Genomic DNA, 20,247 nt, shown 5'->3' with positions numbered 1-20,247 from the left:
CATAAAAAGACAGGTTACTTACAAAGGACTTACAGTTAAACTGACAGCAACTGTAGTTACCAGTGAGAGGTGACAATGTACTAGCAGCCCTCGTTTGCTCTTGGCGTCTCCTCGGCCTCAGCGTCCACTCCAGCCGCCCTTGAGGAGCCCTTCAGCTCGCCACTGCACTGAGGGAGCCCCTCTCTGGGCCAGCTGAGGCCGGAGCCGGCTCCCTCTGCTTGCGGCGAAGTGTGGAGGGAGAGGCGCGGGCGGGAACCGGGGCTGCGGCACGGCGCTCACGGGCCAGCGCGAGTTCCGGGTGGGCGTGGGCTCTGCAGGCCCCGCACTCAAGAGCGGCCGGTCGGCGCTGCAGGTGCTGGGCAGTGAGGGACTTAGCACCTGGACCAGCAGCTGTGGAGAGTGCTCCGGGTCCCCAAACACTGCTGGCCCACCCGCGCCACGCTCGAATTCTCACCGGGTTTCAGCCGCCTCCCAGAGGGGCAGGGCTCGGGGCCTGCAGCCCGCCATTCCCGAGCCCCCCCCATGGTGGGCTCCCGCGCGGCCCGAGCCTCCGCAACGGGCACCGCCCCCTGCTCCGTGGCGCCGGGTCCCACTGACCGCCCAAGGGCTGAGAAGCGCAGGTGCGGTGCGGCAGTGGTAGGCAGCTGCGCCCGTGACCCGGCCAAGGGATCCACTAGGTGGAGCCTAGGCAAAGCCAGTTGGGCTCTTGAGTCAAGTCCTGACTTGAAAAACTTTCATGTCTAGCTGGAGGATTGTATATGCACCAATCAGCACTCTGTGTCTAGCTAATCTGGTGGAGACTTGGAGAACTTTTGTGTCTACCTAACGGATTGTAAATGCACCAATCAGCACTCTGTGTCTAGCTCAATGTTCGTAAATGCACCAATCAATGCTCTGTGTCTAGCTAATCTAGTAGGGACTTGGAGAACTTTTGTGTTTAGCTAAAGGATTGTAAACGCACCAATCAGCACTCTGTGTCTAGCTCAGGGATTGTAAATGCACCAATCAGCACCCTGTCAAAACAGACCAATCAGCTCTCTGTAAAATGGGCCAATCAGCAGGATGTGGGTGGGGCCAAAGAAGGGAATAAAAGCAGGCTGCTCCAGCCCGGCAGTGGCAATTTGGTTGGGTGTGCTTGTACTCTGTGTAAGCTTTGTTTTTTGGTTCTTTAAAATAAATCTTGATGTTGTTGATTCTTTGGGTCAGCATTGCACTGCTCTTGTGAGCTGTAACAGTCACTGCAAAGGTCTGTAGTTTCACTCTTGAAGCCAGCAAGACCGTGAAAGGGTAATGAACAACTCCAGACACATCACCTTAAGAGCTATAACACTCATCAGGAAGGTATGCAGTTTAACTCTTGAAGCCAGCAAGACCACGAACCCACCAGAAGGAAAAAACCCTGAACCTGTCTGAACAGCTGAAGGAACAAACTCCAGACCCACAACCTTTAAGAACTGTAACACTCACTGCAAGGGTTTGCGGCTTTACCCTTTAAGTTAGGGAGACCAAGAACCCACTGATTTCAGTCACCAGAGGATTTCAGGAAAGAATCATGCTCAAAATGTTCAGTAAAATTAACTCAGACTAAAGTTTTATTCCCCAACTATGATTTAAAAAATGAGAAGAAATAGGCCAGGTGGGGTGGCTCACACCTGTAATCCCATCAGTTTGGGATGCTGAGGTGGGGTGGATCATAAGGTTGGGAGATTGAGACCGTACTGGCTAATACGGAGGAAACCTGTGTCTACTAAAAATACAAAAAATGAGCTGGGGGTGGTGGCACGTGCCTGTAGTCCCATCTACGCAGGAGGCTGAGGCAGGAGCATCGCTTGAACTTGGGAGGCAGAGGTTGCAGTGAACCGAGACCACAGCAGTGCACTCCAGCCTGGGCAACAGAGTGAGACTCCATCTCAAAAAAAAAAAAAAAAAAAAAAGACAAAGGCAACTTTAGACCTTTAGACTCTTAAAGAGCCTAGAGAGTTTACCATTAATTGATGCTCATGAGCACAAATATTAAAGGATATATTTAAGCAAAAAGAAAAGTCGACCCAGAGGGAAGGCACATAGGATACAAGAAAGAGTGGTAAACACAATATTAACAAATTGTCGGTTTATTAATTTAATGTTGACAATTTTAAAAGCTAGTTTAGCAATTTTGGGAAATCTTTAAAATCTCTAGGAGGTAGTTATTTAATAGGTAGTTAAATATACCCAGGGGTTTTGTAACATTCAGGAATTTTCTCAATAAATTTAGATGTTAGGAAAAATATTATAGTTGAAGATTAGAGATGGTAATTGAAATACCTTAAAATGATAGAAATGCTTCCAAGCCAACAGTGGGGGGTAATATTCATGAAGGATATTATTAAAAAACAGCTTTATCCAAAAGAAGGCATGGAAATACATTTTTTAAATCCAATAAAAATGGATAGTAAAAGGAAAATAGGGTAGTAGAAATAAATGCAAATATATCAGTGATTATGACAGTGAAAATGAATTAAATGCATCTGATAAATGACAGAAACTAACAGATAGAGCTTTGTAAGCTAGCTAGTTGATGTCTATAAGAAACACTAAAAATCTCCAGCACAATCAGACAGAAAGATTGAAAGTAATGGGAAAAGTGAAAACTTGCAATTAATAATTGTTAAATAAGTAGAAGGCCATTAGCCTGAGGCTGTGTTGATTCTTTGAATTCCTACATAACAAACTGCAACCTAACTTAGTGCGTAAACAAACTGAAACTTAATTTAGGAGTTCAACAAATAGCTGAGTTTCAGCCAATCACAGGCAGCCAACTCATTATGCCATGCCCAAACAGGAAAGTGCCACATCACACCAGGTTCAAATAAAGTTGAAGTTTACCTGTAACCAATCAGGTGATTTCTCTACTTTGCTTCTGTGTTCAGCCTGTAAAAGCTTGCTGCTTGCATTGCTAGGCAGAGCTCTCTGAACCCCTTCTGGCTTGAATGCTTCCTGATTCATGAATCTTTCTTTGCTCAAATAAAGTCTGCCAAATTTAATTAGTCTAAAGTTTTTATTTTAACATAAGCAAAGAAATTTTGTGTAACAATATCAGTATTAGACAAAATAGAATTTCAGACATAATGCATTAGTAAGAGTAAAGATAAGTACACATGGTAACAAAAATTGAAATTCACTAAGAGATAGGAAACACAAACATATCTGGAAAACTTTTGACATGTCTTCTTAGGTAACTCATGAGGACAAAAAGGGAAATCACAGTAAATGTTGCAAAATATTCAAATACCTACGTATTTTAAGCCTATGATTTTAGGGACATAGACATTTATGACAGAATTAAAAAATATTTACAACAGAATAAAAGTACTACCTATAAAAATGTTAGCTGTAAGTGCTTCTTAAAGGTAAACATGTAATTTTAATTAAATTAATTAATAAAGTAAATATAATTAAGTTTAAGAAAGAGCAATCTAAAGAAGTTTTAAGAAAGCAGAAATTAATAATATAGAAACAAGAGAAGCAGTAGAGAGGATGAAAAGAATCAATACCTGTTTTTTAAATGACTTCACAAAAATATAATTCACATACTAGTTCGCTCATTTAAAGTGAACAATTCAGTGATTTTTAGTATATTCACATAATTACACAACCTTACCACAATCTAATTATAGAATATGTTCATCACCCCAAAAAGAAACCCTGAGCTTCTCCTAGAAATCACTAGGCAATTAGTCACTACCTAGAGGTCACTAGGCAACCACTAATCTTTCTTTTTCCTTACACATATAGTAATAAAAATTAACAACAACAACAAAAACTTTTCACAATGAAAAGCCCAGGTGCAAGTGGCTTCACTGGTGAATTCTACCAAACATTTAAAGAAGAATGCCAACCCTTCGTAAACTTTTCCAAAAAATAAAAGATGAGAGGCTTTCTTCTATAAGACCAGTATTACCTGACACCAAAACCAAAGATATCGAAAGAAAGGAAAACTACATGCAAACTCTGTAATGTGACAAGAAATTTTGGCATCATTCAGCCTCAAAAGTCAATTCTGTCATCCAGCAGTAAGAAAGTTGACCATGAAGAACGTGCATTATATGCACGCGTCTAAGACTTCTTAATGGCGGCAAGTTTGATTTGCCCACATTGACATAGATGGGTGCATGCCCACAAGAGGGAGCCTCCAAAAATGGCAGCTGGACTTAGATTCCATGACACTATATATTCCATTCCTATTTGCACACATAGCATGTTAAAGTTTGGAAGCTCCTCCCCTTTGAAGGAAATGCACTAGTTTCATGAACGAGAGCAAGGCCACCCCATGAATAACTGTTGAACTAAGCTGTCAGGATGTATTCATTTTCACTCTCAGAGATGCTTTCCTCATTATCACCCACAGCAACTCAGTCCCCTGAGCTTTCCTCTCCACTCCTTGTCAAAGTCTCTGAGAATGTTCATTTACATTAAAGTATAATGAATAACAATACAAAAAAATATTTCAGTCAGATTATGTGCATTTCACCAAAGATTTGAGCTTAAAGCTGAAGACTGGACATTGATCTGTTATCAGACAATTTTTAAAAATTATTTTTTGGTAGAATAGAGTCTTGCTATGATGCCCAGGCTGTTCTCAAACTCCTGGACTCAAGTAATCCTCCCTTTTCAGCCTCCCAAAATGCTGGGATTACAGGCATGAGCCACCATGCCCCTCCTGTCATCAGACAAGTTGATAAGGACAAATTTAAGGGGAAAAACCTTGTGAGTACAGACAGCCTCTGATTTTCCTAGTACCTAAAAACAGTACATTTACCAAGAATCTACTTTAACTCTGATGCCAAATTCTAGGAAACTGGAAACAAAGAAGTAAGCACTCTTGGTATGCCTATTTGCATATAGCGCCTGAAATTTGTCCAGCTATACATAGAAGAGGTTCTGTAAGCAAAAAAGGTACACAAAGAAAACATATTTATCCGCAAGTCATGTTTTCTAGATGAATCTTGTGTTTCGTCCCAAAGATATATATTTAATGAAGATTATTGAAAACCTTTGTAGATGCAGTCTCAGAAATATGTATAAATGACTTTAAAACTCCTGTTAATTTCCATAACACGTGACTCTCAAACAGACCTTTATACTCCTTTAAGGATTTAAAAGACATTTCTAGTATCTGATAAACAGTCACTTTAAATCACAAGTATTTACCACTATAATCACGGGGGAATGTGTGGCTCAGCCTCTGAAAGCCCCATTTCCCTCCTTTGCCCCTGAGATTAAGAGCATCCAAAAGACAGGTATTGTGTTTGCTCTGGGACCATGCAGTCCCTTAATTCCCATTGGCACCATCTGGACTAATTCCATTTTAAGACCAACTAGGTGGGGTCTCTAATCACTGGCAGATCTCTTATCACCAAGTCAGATCTCTGCAACTACCAATGGCTTAATCCTTCTTCCCTTGCAATGCCATATAAAGTGTTAGTCCTCGGCTGTTCTAGTAGAAAAATAGCAGAAGGCTGCAGTGTAGGAAATCTGATGAAACACAGAGTGACCTCATGAGTTAAAAATGGGGACAACCAAAAAACAAAATGAATGGTGGAAAGAACTTAAGTTTCTATTAATGTCTTTAGGTTACAAAAGTAGGGCAAAGGGTTCACAGGAAGGCAAATGTGTAGATAGAAGCCAACAAAAAAAGAGCATTCAGTGGAGGAGTACTTCTGGGATGGCGCTGGGAGACTGCTCATTTTATTTTATTATGTAATAAAAAGGAAAAATGGAGGTGTTTTTGTTCAAGAGGATCAGACCAAAGGGGTATGCAGTATACGCTGTGAACTCATTCAGAGGAACCAACATATTTTAGAGTAAAGTTGTCTAAAAATAACTTGCTTCAACAGTTCTGGGACATTTTTTTCAGTCTTTTGCCAAGAATCTAATTAATGTGTGTTGCGATTTTCTTTCAGGCAATATGATGTGGATTTTATATCTCATATTCTTTTTTTTTTGGAGACCAGAGTCTTGCTCTGTTGCCCAGGCTGAAGTGCAGTGGCTCAATCTCGGCTCACTGCAACTTCCACCTCCCAGTTTCAAGCAATTGTCTTGCCTCAGCCTCCCGAGTAGCTGGGACTACAGGTGCCCACCACCATGCCCGGCTAATTTTTTTTGTATTTTAGTAGAGACAGGGTTTCACCACGTTGCCCAGGCTGGTCTCGAACTCCTGAGCTCAGGCAATCTGCCCGCCTTGGCCTCACAAAGTGCTAGGATTACTGGCATGAGCCACCATGCCTGGCCTCTCATATTATTTTATAAAGAAAATTCATATAGCCAAGTGGATGTGAATAATGTGATATGTGAGCAGCTAAGATGCTAAGGCTCATCATGCCATTACTTGATTCTCTCCAGCCCAGGACGTTGATACAGATCAGTTAACCCAGTGAAACTACTCTTGCTGCTCTCCTCTTCTCATCCCCACGTTCCACTGTATTTCACTTCTGCAGAGAGCTGGTGCTCAGACTGTGCCTCTGTGAAGCTGGCAGTGAGTGGGCAAGTGAGAAGACTCAGAGTAGAAAATAGGTTCCAGGCATGGACTTTCATTGTTACTCAGAGTTTATGTAAGTAGCTACCAGGAAATAATTAAATCTAAAGGCTGAGGCTGGCCTATCTTCCCGGGACATCAGTGAATAATAATAAAACACTTTATTAAGAAAATCCTGCCAGATCTATTCAGAAATAGGATGTACATGATCTTTTAAGATAAAACACAATAAACTTCAAATATGCTTCACAATTTTTTTTTCTAAGTGGGCCACTTTAGGCTGAGCCTCCAACTTCCTAGGAGCCTCTCACCACACATTATAGAGCATAATTTCAGGAAACATCTGCAGTGGATTATTCATTTCTGGGAGTATTATCAATCTAACGAAACAGTCACTATGGATTTTAATAGTGGAGTAGACCTTAAACATAATCAGGCCTGATCTAATTATTTTAAAGATGAAGTTAAGAACAAAGATAAAAGGTACAAAAAGCCTTGTGGCATTTTTCTTTCTCCCTAACAAGGTCCAGAGCTAAAGTTTTTCATGCCCTGACCTATTGAACATCCCCCAAACACACCACTGTGTCTTTGCATACAATCTTCCTTTTCTATGCAACGCCTTTTTTTTTTTTTTTTTTTTAGATGGAGTCTTGCTCTGTTGTCCAGGCTGTAGTACAGTGGTGCAATCTCGGCTCATTGTAACCTCCACCTTCCTGGTTCAAGCGATTGTCCTGCCTCAGCCTCTTGAGTATCTGGGATTACAGGCGTCCACCATAACACCTGGCTAATTTTTGTATTTTTAGTAGAGACAGGGTTTCACCGTGTTGGCCAGGCTGGTCTCAAACTCCTGACCTCAGGTGATCCACCTGCATCGGCCTCCCAAAGTGCTGGGATTACAGACGTGAGCCGCTGCACCCGGCCAATGCCTTCTTTTATTGAAAGTTTTTACTTGCCATTTAAGACCCAGCTTCCTTGCCATTTTTACTTGCCGTTTAAGACCCAGCTTCCTTGAGGAAATGTTTACTTGCCAGCTTTACTTGCCATTTAAGACCCAGCTTCCTTGAGGAAATCTTTCTCTACTCACCTAGGCAGAGTTAGCTGCTCCTTCCTGTGTGTTCTAATAGATCTTTAAATATAATTTGGTTTTTAGTCCCTCTGTTAGATTTAAAGATCTAATAGATCTTTAAATATAATTGGGTTTTAGTCCATCTATTAGATTTAAAGATTTAAACCAAATATAATTTGGTTTTAGTCCCTCTATTAGATTTAAAGATCTAATAGATCTTTAAATATAATTTGGTTTTAGTCCCTCTCATCCAAAAGAAAAAAAAAGTAAACAATATCCTTTCTGGAGCTCCCTCTCCAGTTGCCATCCTTTCCATAGTCTCCCCTTCACAGCTAAAATCCTTAAAAGAATTGTTTCCATATTCAGGCTTTACTTTCCCACTTCCATTTCCTTTTCAATTCACTCCAACTGGCTTCTGACCCCTCCACTCTGCTGAAATTATTCTTGGAAAATGCAGCAATGACTTCTGCACTACCCAATCCAATGGCTGATTGCCAGTTCTTACTGCACTTTTTCCCTGTCTTGAAGATTCTATACAGTTGACCACCACATCTTTAAAACACCCTTGGCTTCTTACACACCACAATCTATTGGTTTTCCTCCAATGACTTGAGGCATTTCTTCCAATTTCCTTGAGAATTCATCCACCTCTCCTGAAACTTTAGTGTTAGAATTCTTAGAGTTTATACCTCAGTTCTCCTCTTTCTTTCTTGGTGATCTAATTCACTCCCTGGCTTCAAATTCTAAATCAATATCTACAACTTTCAACAACATGTCTACAGTTAATCTCTTTCTGAGTAAGAGAAATTGCAAATCCAACTGCATACTTAAATTGCTAGCATCATCATGAATGATTATAAATGATAAAATACCACTGAGAACTAGCTAAAATAAAGCAGAGTCAGAGACACAGAGAGAGAAAGAGAAAGAGAGACAGAGACAGAGAAAGAAATGTATTAATAGACAAATACCAACTCAGCTCATGTAACCAAGCCAGGGACAGAAACAAGGGAATGCCTATATTCTCAGTAGTCTTTTCTTCTGCCTCTTCTTTCTCTGTATGGTACCCTCATTTTTTCAATCCAACATCATCCCCACAGAGGTGACATGTTCATCAACAGCTCTGAACTTACAGGGTCACAGCTCTGCAACCGGAGTATAAAAATCTGTTCTCCCCATTCAGATTAAGAGAAGTAATTAGATTGGTCCAGTGAGGCTCATATGGCTTTTCTAGGAATCAGTCATTGTGTTCTGGGCATGATGATATTCTGATTGATTTGAATTGGGCCATATGAACACCCATAATTACTAGAGGAATAATATTGGGTCAGGCAGTCACCTAATTAATATCATTTAAACTATTCAACATTTCCATCTAGGTCTTTCACAGGTATCTTAAGTTGACAGTATCCACAACTTAATCAATAATGTTTATCCAAAAACACGATTGTTCCCCAGTATTTTAAATGCCAAAAAATGACATAAACATTCATGAAATTTCTCAAGCCAAGATACTTAAGAGTTATGCTTGACAGTCCCTCTCCCTGCTGTTATTGCCTAGCCCACCCACCATCCAATTATCAAGGTCTATCAATTCTACATCCAAGATATATTTAGGATCAGTCCACTTCTTTCTGTCTGCAATATTGCCCTTGTAGTTCAAAACAACGTCACTCCACACCTAGATTACTGCAGTAGCATCCTAACTGGTCTCCAACTGTCCACTCTTTTTTTTGTTTTTGAGATGGAGTTTTGCTTTTGTTGCCCAAGCTGGAGTGCAATGGCGCAATCTGGGCTCACTGCAACCTCTGCCTTCTGGGTTCAAGTGATTCTCCTGCCTCAGCCTCCCGAGTAGCTGGGATTACAGGTGCCCACCACCACACCAGGCTAATTTTTTGTATTTTTAGTAGAGGAGGGGTTTCACCATGTTGGCCAGGCTGGTCTCGAACTCCTGACCTCAGGTGACCCGCCCACCTCGGCCTCCCAAAATGCTGGGATTACAGGCGTGAGCCACCGAACCCAGCATACACTCTTGATCTCCTGACATTCTTTGTCCTCAAGGCAGAGTGACTTTATGAAATTTAAAACTTACCATACCTTGCTTCTGCTTAAAACCTTAGAAAAGCTTCTCATTGTTCTTGAGATAAGCCCTGCATTCCTCATTTACCCTGGGAATCCAATCTTTGCTTTCTTTCTAACCTCATCTTTTCCTACTCTTTCTTTTCCCTCATTTAAAATGTTTCAACTCTATCAATCTTTCCATTTTTGAAATGTAATCTGACATTTTTGGGGGGTACTGGGCTTTCACATGTGCCAGGCAAACATCTTGTTACATGCTCTCTAGGCCTTGGCCTTTTTCACATCACTCATCACAGCTTTAATACTTACAATGCAAATGTTTAACTGTGAACTTCTTAAGACCAAGGACTGCATCTGTCTGGCTTGACGTAGTACTTAGCACTTAGTAGACGTTCAATCAATATTTGTTGAATGAATGGTCATCCCACTTTATTACAGTCCTTTACATACCTGTATTTTCTGCCAAGATATGAGTTCATTCTTTTATTTTACAAATATTTATTGAGTGCCCACCTTGTGATATTTAAGGAGAGAGTTAAATATCAGGGACAGAGGCATGAAGATGATACAGGGGATTCTTACCTTTAGACATTTATAGCCTTTCTACTATGCAACAATTATGTGTTTTTTCTATGTCTCAATTCCTGGCAGATACTGTTTAATGAATGTTTGCTGAATGAATACATGAATGAATTAATGGGCATTGTGAACTTGACCACCAACTACTCTCTGTTCTTTTTGCTGTACCCTGTCCTGCATGTTTCAAATGACCAGAAGTTTCATAGCAGAGAAAAATGGCCACTAAACCATGGGTTTCCTGGCTGACAATGAGCTGGTTCAAACATGATGATCATCCCTTAGGCAGAAGTGAGATAGGTCCAAGCCAGGATACTGGCACCAGGGAGGAAAGAAGGGTAAACACACACAGCATTTGGGAGCCTTGGGGCAAAGGTATGCCAATGGTGGGAGAAAGGAAGAGGAAAGAAAAGACAAATGGTTGAGAGGCTGAGGCAGGCGGATCACAAGGTCAGGAGATCGAGACCATCCTGACTAACACAGTGAAACCCCGTCTCTACTTAAAATACAAACAATTAGCCGGGTGTGGTGGCGGGCACCTGTAGTCCCAGCTATTCAGGAGGCTGAGGCAGGAGAATGGTGTGAACCCGGGAGGCAGAGCTTGCAGTGAGCCGAGATCGCGCCACTGCACTTCAGCCTGGGCGAAAGAGCAAGACTCTGTCTCAACAAAAAAAGAAACGACAAATGGAGGTGAGGAGTGTTCTTTCTTTTTTTTTTTTTTTATCAAGAAGGTTGTTACAATCCCCTTTTTAAAAATTTAAATAGCTTTAAAAGTACAAGTTGTTTTTGCTTACATGGATGAATTGTATAGTGGTGAAATCTGGGCTTCTAGTGTACCCATCACCCAAATATTGTACCCAATAGGTAGTTTGAGAACTATATATTTTTCATCGAAGTTTCTTACTTAATGTCTGTCATTGACTGTGCATTGTGAGCTTTGTGGTAGAAGGAGCAATGTTTGTTTTGATTTCCAGAGTCTCCAGTGCCAGTCGGAGCAATCATACATACTTGATGAATGAATGAATAAATGAATGAATGCTCAACATCTCCCAGAGAACATACATCCAGTGTCTGGTTCTGAGGCTCACCCTCTGCAGGTAAGCAGGAAACCCTAGAGAGAAGGTTTCCACACCCAGGTATTCCAAGACATCTCAAAACCATGGTCAAGAGGCAAATGGATCTGCTACTGGATAGCTGAAAATTCTCAGAAGAAAAAAATGTTTCATAGAGATGAAAAGTCCAAAAATGCATTTGTGCCTAGAAGGCATAGCAGCATGAATGAGTAAATCTTATTGGGTAAATCTTTTAAGAAAAGAGGTGGTGGTGGTAGTGGGATATGTAATATGACATATATAATATGACAAGGCTTTGGGTACCTAAGTTGAAGAGGAGATGCTTTTAGGGAGAAAAGGGAGCAAAAAAAAAAAAAAAATAAGAAGCCTGAAGACCTCAAACATAAAATTAGCGGGGAATTTTACCAGAGCAAGTATAATTTTGTGCCTTTCCTGACAAGTCAAAGCACTATCACGTAAGAGCTAAACCGATGATCTCTAGAACCCAGTGGCTTAGGATCAAATCATGGCACTGTTGATTCTGGACAAGACACTCAGTATCTCTAGGGGTCAGTAATTTTATTTGAAAATGAGGACCCATCTCTTAAGGTGTTGAGAGTATTCAATGAAGGAATTCCTGGAAAACACCTAGCGTGTGTTACAAGGGCGGTAAATATTAGGTATTGCTACTGCTTACACAGATTACTCGGCAGGAGGGGTGGTCACCATTTGAGCAAATCTACGATCGTGGGGATTCAAAGGAAAACCAGAGGAAAGTGGGGAGCCCTTGAGTTAATCTACAGGAGAGATGTCTGCACAGAGCAGGGCATGCTGTCAGTGCATGGTGAGTGGTGACTTTCCTTCCTTCTGCTTCTGTCATCTCCCTATTTCTATGACATTAAATTTGAAGTGCACAATTCTCCCCACTGTGCCTTGTGGCTTCCCTGTGCCCAGGAAAGCTTTTCTGGTCTGGAGATGGCAAAAGGCAGCCTAGTAGCTACGCCAAGAGAAAAATGGTCAAAAATGCAGATCAGAGTTTTCTTTTTAAAGAAATATATATTTTAAGGTTAGAATCTAATCAAGCACAAATAATGCAAAGTTATAAACCCACATTTTTTTCTTCTTCTTCATTATTTTAAGAGCCCTCTGCTCAGGAAGGGGGCGAGGGCTGTTTCCTGGCTCTGGGCAAATGTGTGAAGGAAGTGAAGTGCAGTGCCCTAGGCCACCTCCTTCCCCTATCCCCTTCCCCATTCTATTCCCCTAAGTTCGTTACCAGGCACTCTAGGCCCAGATCTGTCCCATTTCCCAGGCAAAATCTTCTCTCAAAAAGGATCTGAAACTCATTTACATTAAAATATGCGTGAGGATTGCAGTGGAAAGCGTTGCCCCAAGGTTGGCCTTAGCTTTAAATAAACCAATGCCTGCCAGAGGCAGCAGAGCTTCCTCAGGAGGCACCAGCATCCTGCTAGTTGTTGGTTTTTTTTTTTTAATTTTAGCAATGTTTATATAACACTAAATCAAGACACCGAGTAGTTAATTTACATAATGTTCGTATCACCAGAACAGTGTTAATATACATGAACATATTTTGTAATCTTTTTTAATGTTTTTTTTTTAACTTTTATTTTAGGTTCAGGGGTACGTGAGCTAGTTGGTATGTTTAAAGTGGATTCATCCTGGAATTCCCATCTCACTACTCAGGTTGTAAGTTGAGCTGCAGCATTTAAAGAAAGGCACCAAGGGTAAGAGAGAGCTATGCTAGCACTCAGAAAATAATAAGCATCTTCATTCCCTTTTGGCAGAAGAAAGTGGAGGCCCACTCATTAATTCCAACCTCCCCTGAATTTAAAAATTGCCCAAAAGTAGTTATGTTACCAGTGGAGGGTGTCCAGGTTCTTGGCGTTTTGAACAAAGAATTGGACAAACCACACAAAGCAAAGAAAGAATGAAGCAACAAAGGCAGAAATGTATTGAAAACGGAAGCGCTCCACAGGGTGGGAGCAGGACCGAGCAAGCGGCTCTAGAGAGCTGGTTACAGAATCTTCTGGGGTTTAGATACCCTCTAGAGGTTTCCCATTGGTTACCTGGTGTACACCCTATGCAAATGAAGAGGATGAAGTGACGTTACAAAGTTACTTACTTGGTCGTAGAGACTTGGAGTTTTTCATTTGATTTAGTTCGAGGAAGTACTTACGTTCCCTAGCTCCAGACCCTGTTCTCCCGCCTCAGTTATGTATTGACAACCAGAGGCCTTGTGGTCTCTCTTTTAGCAGGTCCAGGTTAAAACCCTGGAAACCAGCATTTCTAACACGCATTGTGGGGTCGTGGAGATTAAATGAGGGACTTATTGAGAGGCTCTTGGCCTTGCATGCCTAGGATCAAGAGAGTTGGGTATTATTTGAATCTTGTATGTCACTTCTTGTAACCTCATTTGGAAGCATAAGTCTGACTTCCCATTTAGGCTCTCCTTAACCGTCAATTGCAGGCATTTCAAGAGCCTCTCTTTCCTCTGCCGGCCGTTCCACATGTTGCTGACAGATTCACCTTCCTACAGCACAGTCCTGAGCTTGCTTGCCACCTTTTAAAAAAGATAGCAAGGGCTATCTATGATCCTGGCTATCTTTTTAAAAAATTGAATTATTTTGTTCCCACATTTAAAATGAAATGTAAACTCTCTATTGCAGCTTCAGAGCCCCCGCATGACTTGGTCCTTGCTGATCTTTTGACTTCATTTCCTACTGTTTCCCCTCCTGCTTCCCAGGGTCCAGTAACACGTAACTGATCCTCACCTACCTCCTTGCTCACTCCTGCCTCAAGGCCGCTGCCTTCCTCTTCCCTTGCAAGGAAAAGGAACACACTATTGCTGTACCCAGAATGTTCTGACCCCATGTCCTTGCATGACTGGTTCCACTGCATGGTTAGTTCTTGGCTCAACAATTACCTCCCACTAGAGCAGCACCCCAGGATGCATCGCATTATGCTATTTTTATTTTTTTTACAGCACTTCTATCATCTGAAATGACTTTGCTTATTTGTTTTCTTGTTATTATCTGTCCACCTCCCTCCAGAATGTAAGCTCCCTGGGTTTCCTGTTCACGGTTCACTGTTGTTACCTCTGCTGCCTAGATAGCAGTTGACACACGGCTGGCTTTCAAAAAGCATTCTGCATAAAACCATATTATGTCTCTTTCACATCCTTAGCAGTCCTCACAGCCCTCGCTCGCTCTCGGCGCCTCCTCTGCCTGGGCTCCCACTTTGGCGGCACTTGAGGAGCCCTTCAGCCCACCGCTGCACCGTAGGAGCCCCTTTCCGGGCTGGCCAAGGCCGGAGCCGGCTCCCTCAGCTTGCAGGGAGGTGTGGAGGGAGAGGCGCGAGCGGGAACCGGGGCTGTGCGCGGCGCTTGCGGGCCAGCTAGAGTTCCCGGTGGGCGTGGGCTTGGCGGGCCCCGCACTCGGAGCAGCCGGCCGGCCCTGCCGGCCCCGGGCAATGAGGGGCTTAGCACCCAGGCCAGCAGCTGCGGAGGCTGTACTAGGTCCCCCACCAGTGCCGGCCCACCGGCGCTGCGCTCGATTTCTCGCCGGGCCTCAGCTGCGTTCCCGCGGGGCAGGGCTAGGGCCCGCAGCCCGCCTATGCCTGAGCCTCCCATCCCCTCCGTGGGCTCCTATGCGGCCTGAGCCTCCCCAATGAGCACCGCGCTCTGCTCCACAGCGCCCAGTCCCATCGACCACCCAAGGGCTGAGGAGTGCGGGTGCACGGCGCGGGACTGGCAAACAGCTCCAGCTGCAACCCCTGTCTGGGATCCACTGCGCGAAACCAGTTTGGCTCCTGAGTCTGGTGGGGACGTGGAGAACCTTTATGTCTAGCTCAGGGATTGTAAATACACCAATCGGTACTCTGTATCTAGCTCAAGGTTTGTAAACACACCAATCAGCACCCTGTGTCTAGCTCAGGGTTTGTGAATGCACCAATCGACACTCTGTATCTAGCTACTCTGGTGGGGCCTTGGAGAACCTTTGTGTGGACACTGTATCTAGCTAATCTGGTGGGGATGTGGAGAACCTTTGTATCTAGCTCAGGGATTGTAAAGGCACCAATCAGCGCCCTGTCAAAACAGACCACTTGGCTCTACCAATCAGCAGGATGTGGGTGGGGCCAGAGAAGAGAATAAAAGCAGGCTGCCCGAGCCAGCAGTAGTAACTCGCTGGAGTCTCCTTCCGGATTGTGGAAAGTTTGTTTTTTTTTTTTTTTGCTCTGCAATAAGTCTTGCTACTGCTTGCTCTTTGGGTCAACACTGAGTTTGTGAGTTGTGAGGCTCACCACGAAGGTCTGTAGCTTCCCTCCTGAGCTGGTGTAGACCATGAACCCACCAGAAGAAGGAAACTGCAAACACATTTGAACGTCAAAAAGAACAAACTCTGGACACGCCACTTTTAAGAACTATAACACTCACCACGAGGATCTGCGGCTTCATTCTTGAAGTCAGTGAGACTAAGAATCTGCCAATTCCGGACAAACTTTCGTAGTTCTACATCTTTTTCAGAATCATAGTACATATTCCTACACCTGCCAGTGAAGGACTTGGGTGGTTTTGTCTTAATACACTTGCTATAAATAAATTATGCTTAGGTAGCTTTCTTGTTACTACAACAACATACACATGAAGGTGAAGTTTGTGGATCAGTATCGTTGGCATCATGTGGGCGTTCATTAGAGCTACGGCCCCTGACAGCTGCAGACTTACTGACTTCCCCCATTCCTATTTTAACAAGAGCCCAGGTAAATAGAAGGCACCTTGGGCCACACCTCATAATTACTAAAGGAGTAATACTGGATCACACAATCACCCAATGTGTTTTGGCTAAACTACTCAATATTCCTACGTGGACGTCTCACAAGTATCTCAAGCTGACAGTGTCCAAAACCGAACTATACTATTGCTCCCAAAAACGTGATTCTCTTCCAGTGTTCTCAAAAATTGAGAGCTATTGTCCTAAAATTTGTGAGCTATTCAAAGGCACAGACTCAGTATTATTCACCTTCGTTTCCTACATGGAATGTCCTCAATGTTTGCTGAGCTGAATTTATTTTATTTTTAATTGATACATAATAGATGCACATATTTTAGAGGTACCTGTGAGAATTTAATACATTTATGTAATTTGGTCTTTGTGTGTGTGTGTGTGTTTGAGACAGAGTCTCGCTCTGTTTCCCAGGCTAAAGTACAGTGGCATGATCTCGGCTCACTGTAACCTCTGCCTCCCAGGTCCGAGCAATTCTCCTGCCTCAGCCGCCCCAGTAGCTGGGACTACAGGCACGTGGCACCACATCTGGCTAATTTTTTTTCATTTTTAGTAGATTTGGGGTTTTACTATGTTGTCCAGGCTGGTCTTGAGCTCCTGACCTCAAGTGATCCTCCCACCTCAGCCTCCCAAAGTGCTGAGGTTACAGGCGTGAGTCACCACGCACAGCCCATTCATATATGTAAAGATCAAATCAGTGTAATTGGGATATTCATTACCTTAAATATTTATCTTTTCTTTATGCTAGAAACATTCAAATTTTCTTATAGCTATTTTGAAATACACAATTATTGTAGACTGTAATCACCTTAGTGATTTATCAAACACTAGATCTCATTTCTTCTATCACTGTACATTTCTACTTGTTAATCAACTTGTCTCCGTCCCCTCACCCTCCTACCCTTCCCAGCCTCTGGTAACCACCAGTCTACTCTCTACCTTCATGAGATCCATTTTTTTTTAGCTCCCACATATGAGAGTGAGAAATGTGGTATTTGTCTTTCTGTGCTTGGCTTATTTCATTTAACATAAACACCTCCAGTTCCATCCGTGTTGCTGCAAATAACAAGATTTCTTTTTCTTTTCTTTTCTTTTCTTTTTTTTTTTTTTTTGAGACAGAGTCTTGTTCTGTCACTTAGGCTGGAGTACAGAGGCGCAATCATGGCTCACTACAGCCTTGATCTTCAAGGTTCAGTCAATCCTCCCACCTCAGCCTCCTGAGTAGCTGGGACTACAGGCATGTGCCGCTACACCCCACTAAGTTTATAATTTTTTGGAGAGATGGGATTTTGCCATGTCGTCCAGAGTAGTTTCAAACTCCTAGGTTCAAGTCATTCTTTTTATGGCTGAATAATATTCCAGTGTCTACATATACCATATTTTCTGTGTCCATTTATCCATTGATGGACACTTAGGTTGATTCCATATTTTGACTATTATGAATAGTGCTGCAGTAAACATGAGAGTGCAGATATCTCATTGATATATTGATTTCCTTTCTTTTGGAGATATACTCAGCAGTGGAATTACTGAATCACATGGTAGTTCTATTTTTAGCTTTTTGAGGAATTTCCATTTAGTTTTCCAGGGTGGTTGTACTAATTTACATTCCCACCAATAGTGTATGAGGGTTCCCCTTTTCCCTACATTCTTGCCAGCATCCATTATTCCCTGTCTTTTTGATAAAAGCCATTTTAAGTGGGATGAGATGATATCATCTCATTGTGGTTGTTTTTTGGGTTTTGTTTTGTTTTGAGACAGGGTCTCACTCTGTTGCTCAGGCTGGAGTGCAGTGGTGTGATCTTGGCTCATGCAACCTCTGCCTCCTGGGCTCAAGCAATTATCCTGCCTCAGCCTCCCAAGTAGCTGGGACTACAGGCTTGTGTCACTACGCCTGGATAATTTTTGTATTTTTAGTAGACATGGGGTTTCACTATGTTGCCCAGGCTGGTATGGAACTCCTGAACTCAAGTGATCCACCTGCCTCAGCCTCCCAAAGTGCTGGGATTACAGGCGTGAGCCACCATGCCCAGCTCATTGTGGTTTTGATTTGTGTTTCTCTGATTATTAGTGGTGTTGAGCATTTTTAAATGTACCCATTGGCCATTTGTAGGGTTTTTTTTTTTTTTTTTTGAGAAAAGTCTATTCAGATCTTTTGTCTATTTTTTAATTTTTTTTTTTTTGCTCTTGAGTTGTTTGAGTTCCTTATATATCCTGTTTTTAAAATTCTTGTCAGATGGACAGTTTGCAAATATCTTTTCCTATTCTGTAGGCTGTCTGTACACTCTACTGATTGTTGCCTTTGCTGTACAGAACGTTTTTGCTTGATGTAATCCCATTTGTCTATTTTTGCTTAGATTGCCTTTGCTTTTGAGGTCTTACGCAACAAACCTTTGCCCAGATCAAAGTCCTGGAGCATTTCCCCAGTGTTTTCTCCTAGTAGTTTAATACTTTCGGGTCTTAGATTTCAGTCTTTAATTTATTTTTATTTGATTTTTGTATATGTGAGAGATGGGGGTCTCGTTTCATTATTCTGCATATGATTATCCAGTTTGTCCAGCACCATTTATTGAAGAGTGTTGAGCTGAATTTTAAAAATTTATAGTCTAGTGGAGGAAATAGCCTAAGCAATAACAATGTGACAGTTACTTAACTAATCCAGTGAAAACTGGCAAGGCTCTCAACTCAGGAGGAAAAGTTAAGAAATATTAAGGAGCTAGAAGTGACAAAATGTGGTCACCAATTGGAGAGATGATTTATTTACTGGAAGGAATTTTAAATGACTCCCAGTTCTCTGCTTTGGAAACTGGGTGCATGGGAGTGACAGTCTCTAAAACAGGGACTGTAGGAAGATCAGGCTGAACTCAGGAGAGATATCAGGGTTCAAAGCAGATTGTAGAGCTAACATGCAACAGCCAATGTTGACTCAGTATTTACCCATCAATGATCCTACCACGTTCCCTGAGTCCATTACTCTCCTACCCTCCAAGGTGGTTATCTCACACCCCATTCTTTCTCCTTGAGCCTTCTTCACCTCCTGCACAGAGTTAGGTCTTAGCCGATGGCCTTATTTTCTATTTCGTGGAAACAGCAGAAGCAGCCAGAAGAGGATGTGCTTGAACTCACACCCCCACACCTATAATCTGCCTTTTCTCTTGAGGAAAACTAACCAAATTTTCTGTTAGTTTTCTGGGTCCCATCCCTTTTCCCTTTCCCAAAGACCTCATTTCAATAATTCTATTCCCTCTCCACTGCATCATAAAAATGTCAGTGTCTATTAGCTTGTTTCTATTATTGTTCAAGCATATTGAATCTCCTATCTTAAAAGCAAATGTAAACCTTCTTTGACTCCACACCATCCTTTAGCTATCACCCCATTCTTCTCCTCTCCTTTACAGCAAAGCACCTTGACAGAGTTGCCTATACTTCTGCCTCCAACTTCTCTCTTCCCATTCTCTCTTGTACCCACTATTGAAACTGCTTTGTCAAGGTCATCAATGACATCCACATCACTACATCCGCCACTCTGTTCTCAGCCTCCATCGCACTTCCTCTATCAGCAGTGGACACACTTTTCACCTCCTCCTGGCCTCTCTGCACTTGCCTTTCAGGACCCCACACAGTCATGGTTGTCCTCCTTCCTCTCAGGCCACTCCTTAGTCTCCTTTCTTGGTTTCCCTCCTCTCCCTGACTTCTTCATCTTGGCATGCCCGATTCTCAGTCCTCAGTTTGCTTCTCTGTTCTAAGTGCATACCCTTGACGACCTCATCTGGCATCACTGCTTTTGAAATCAACTAGGTGCTGATGACTTCCAAAGTTTTATCTTTAATCCAGACCTATTTCTTAAACTCCACATTCACATATCAAATGCCCTTCTCAACAGCTACACTTCAATGTCTAATAACCATGTAGGATTTGATTTACACTAAATTGATTCTGTATTTTCACCCACTGTGTGTTCCCCCACAGTCCCTCTCTCTTTTTTTTTTTTTTTTTTTTTTTGGGAAGTGGAGTCTCACCTTGTTGCTCAGGCTGGAATGCAGTGGCACGATCTCGGCTCACTGCAACCTCCGCCTCCCAGGTCCAAGTGATTCTCCCACCTCTGCTTCCCAAGTAACTGAGATTACAGGAGCGTGCCACCATGCACAGCTATTTTTTGTG

At 42.4% G+C, this 20,247-nt stretch overlaps 1 long non-coding RNA gene across 5 annotated transcripts in view; it reads right to left on the bottom strand.

The window, feature by feature from the left end:
- The window catches only part of LOC105374928 (uncharacterized), a 106,762-nt gene extending 106,512 nt beyond the window's left edge, over positions 1 to 250 (bottom strand). For 3 of the 5 annotated variants that reach the window (NR_187824.1, NR_187825.1, NR_187826.1), the window contains exon 1: positions 34 to 250. This is a non-coding gene — a long non-coding RNA (uncharacterized LOC105374928). Of the gene's footprint in view, positions 1 to 22 lie in introns of all 5 variants that reach the window. The other 2 variants (NR_187827.1, NR_187828.1) reach the window with 2 other exon arrangements.
- Between the last annotated feature and the right edge of the window lie 19,997 nt (positions 251 to 20,247).

This window comes from Homo sapiens, chromosome 6 (assembly GCF_000001405.40).
Source record: "Homo sapiens chromosome 6, GRCh38.p14 Primary Assembly".
Lineage (NCBI taxonomy): Eukaryota > Metazoa > Chordata > Mammalia > Primates > Hominidae > Homo > Homo sapiens.
The sequence above is the reverse complement of the archived record's forward strand: the minus strand, read 5'-3'. Positions and strand labels throughout refer to the sequence as shown.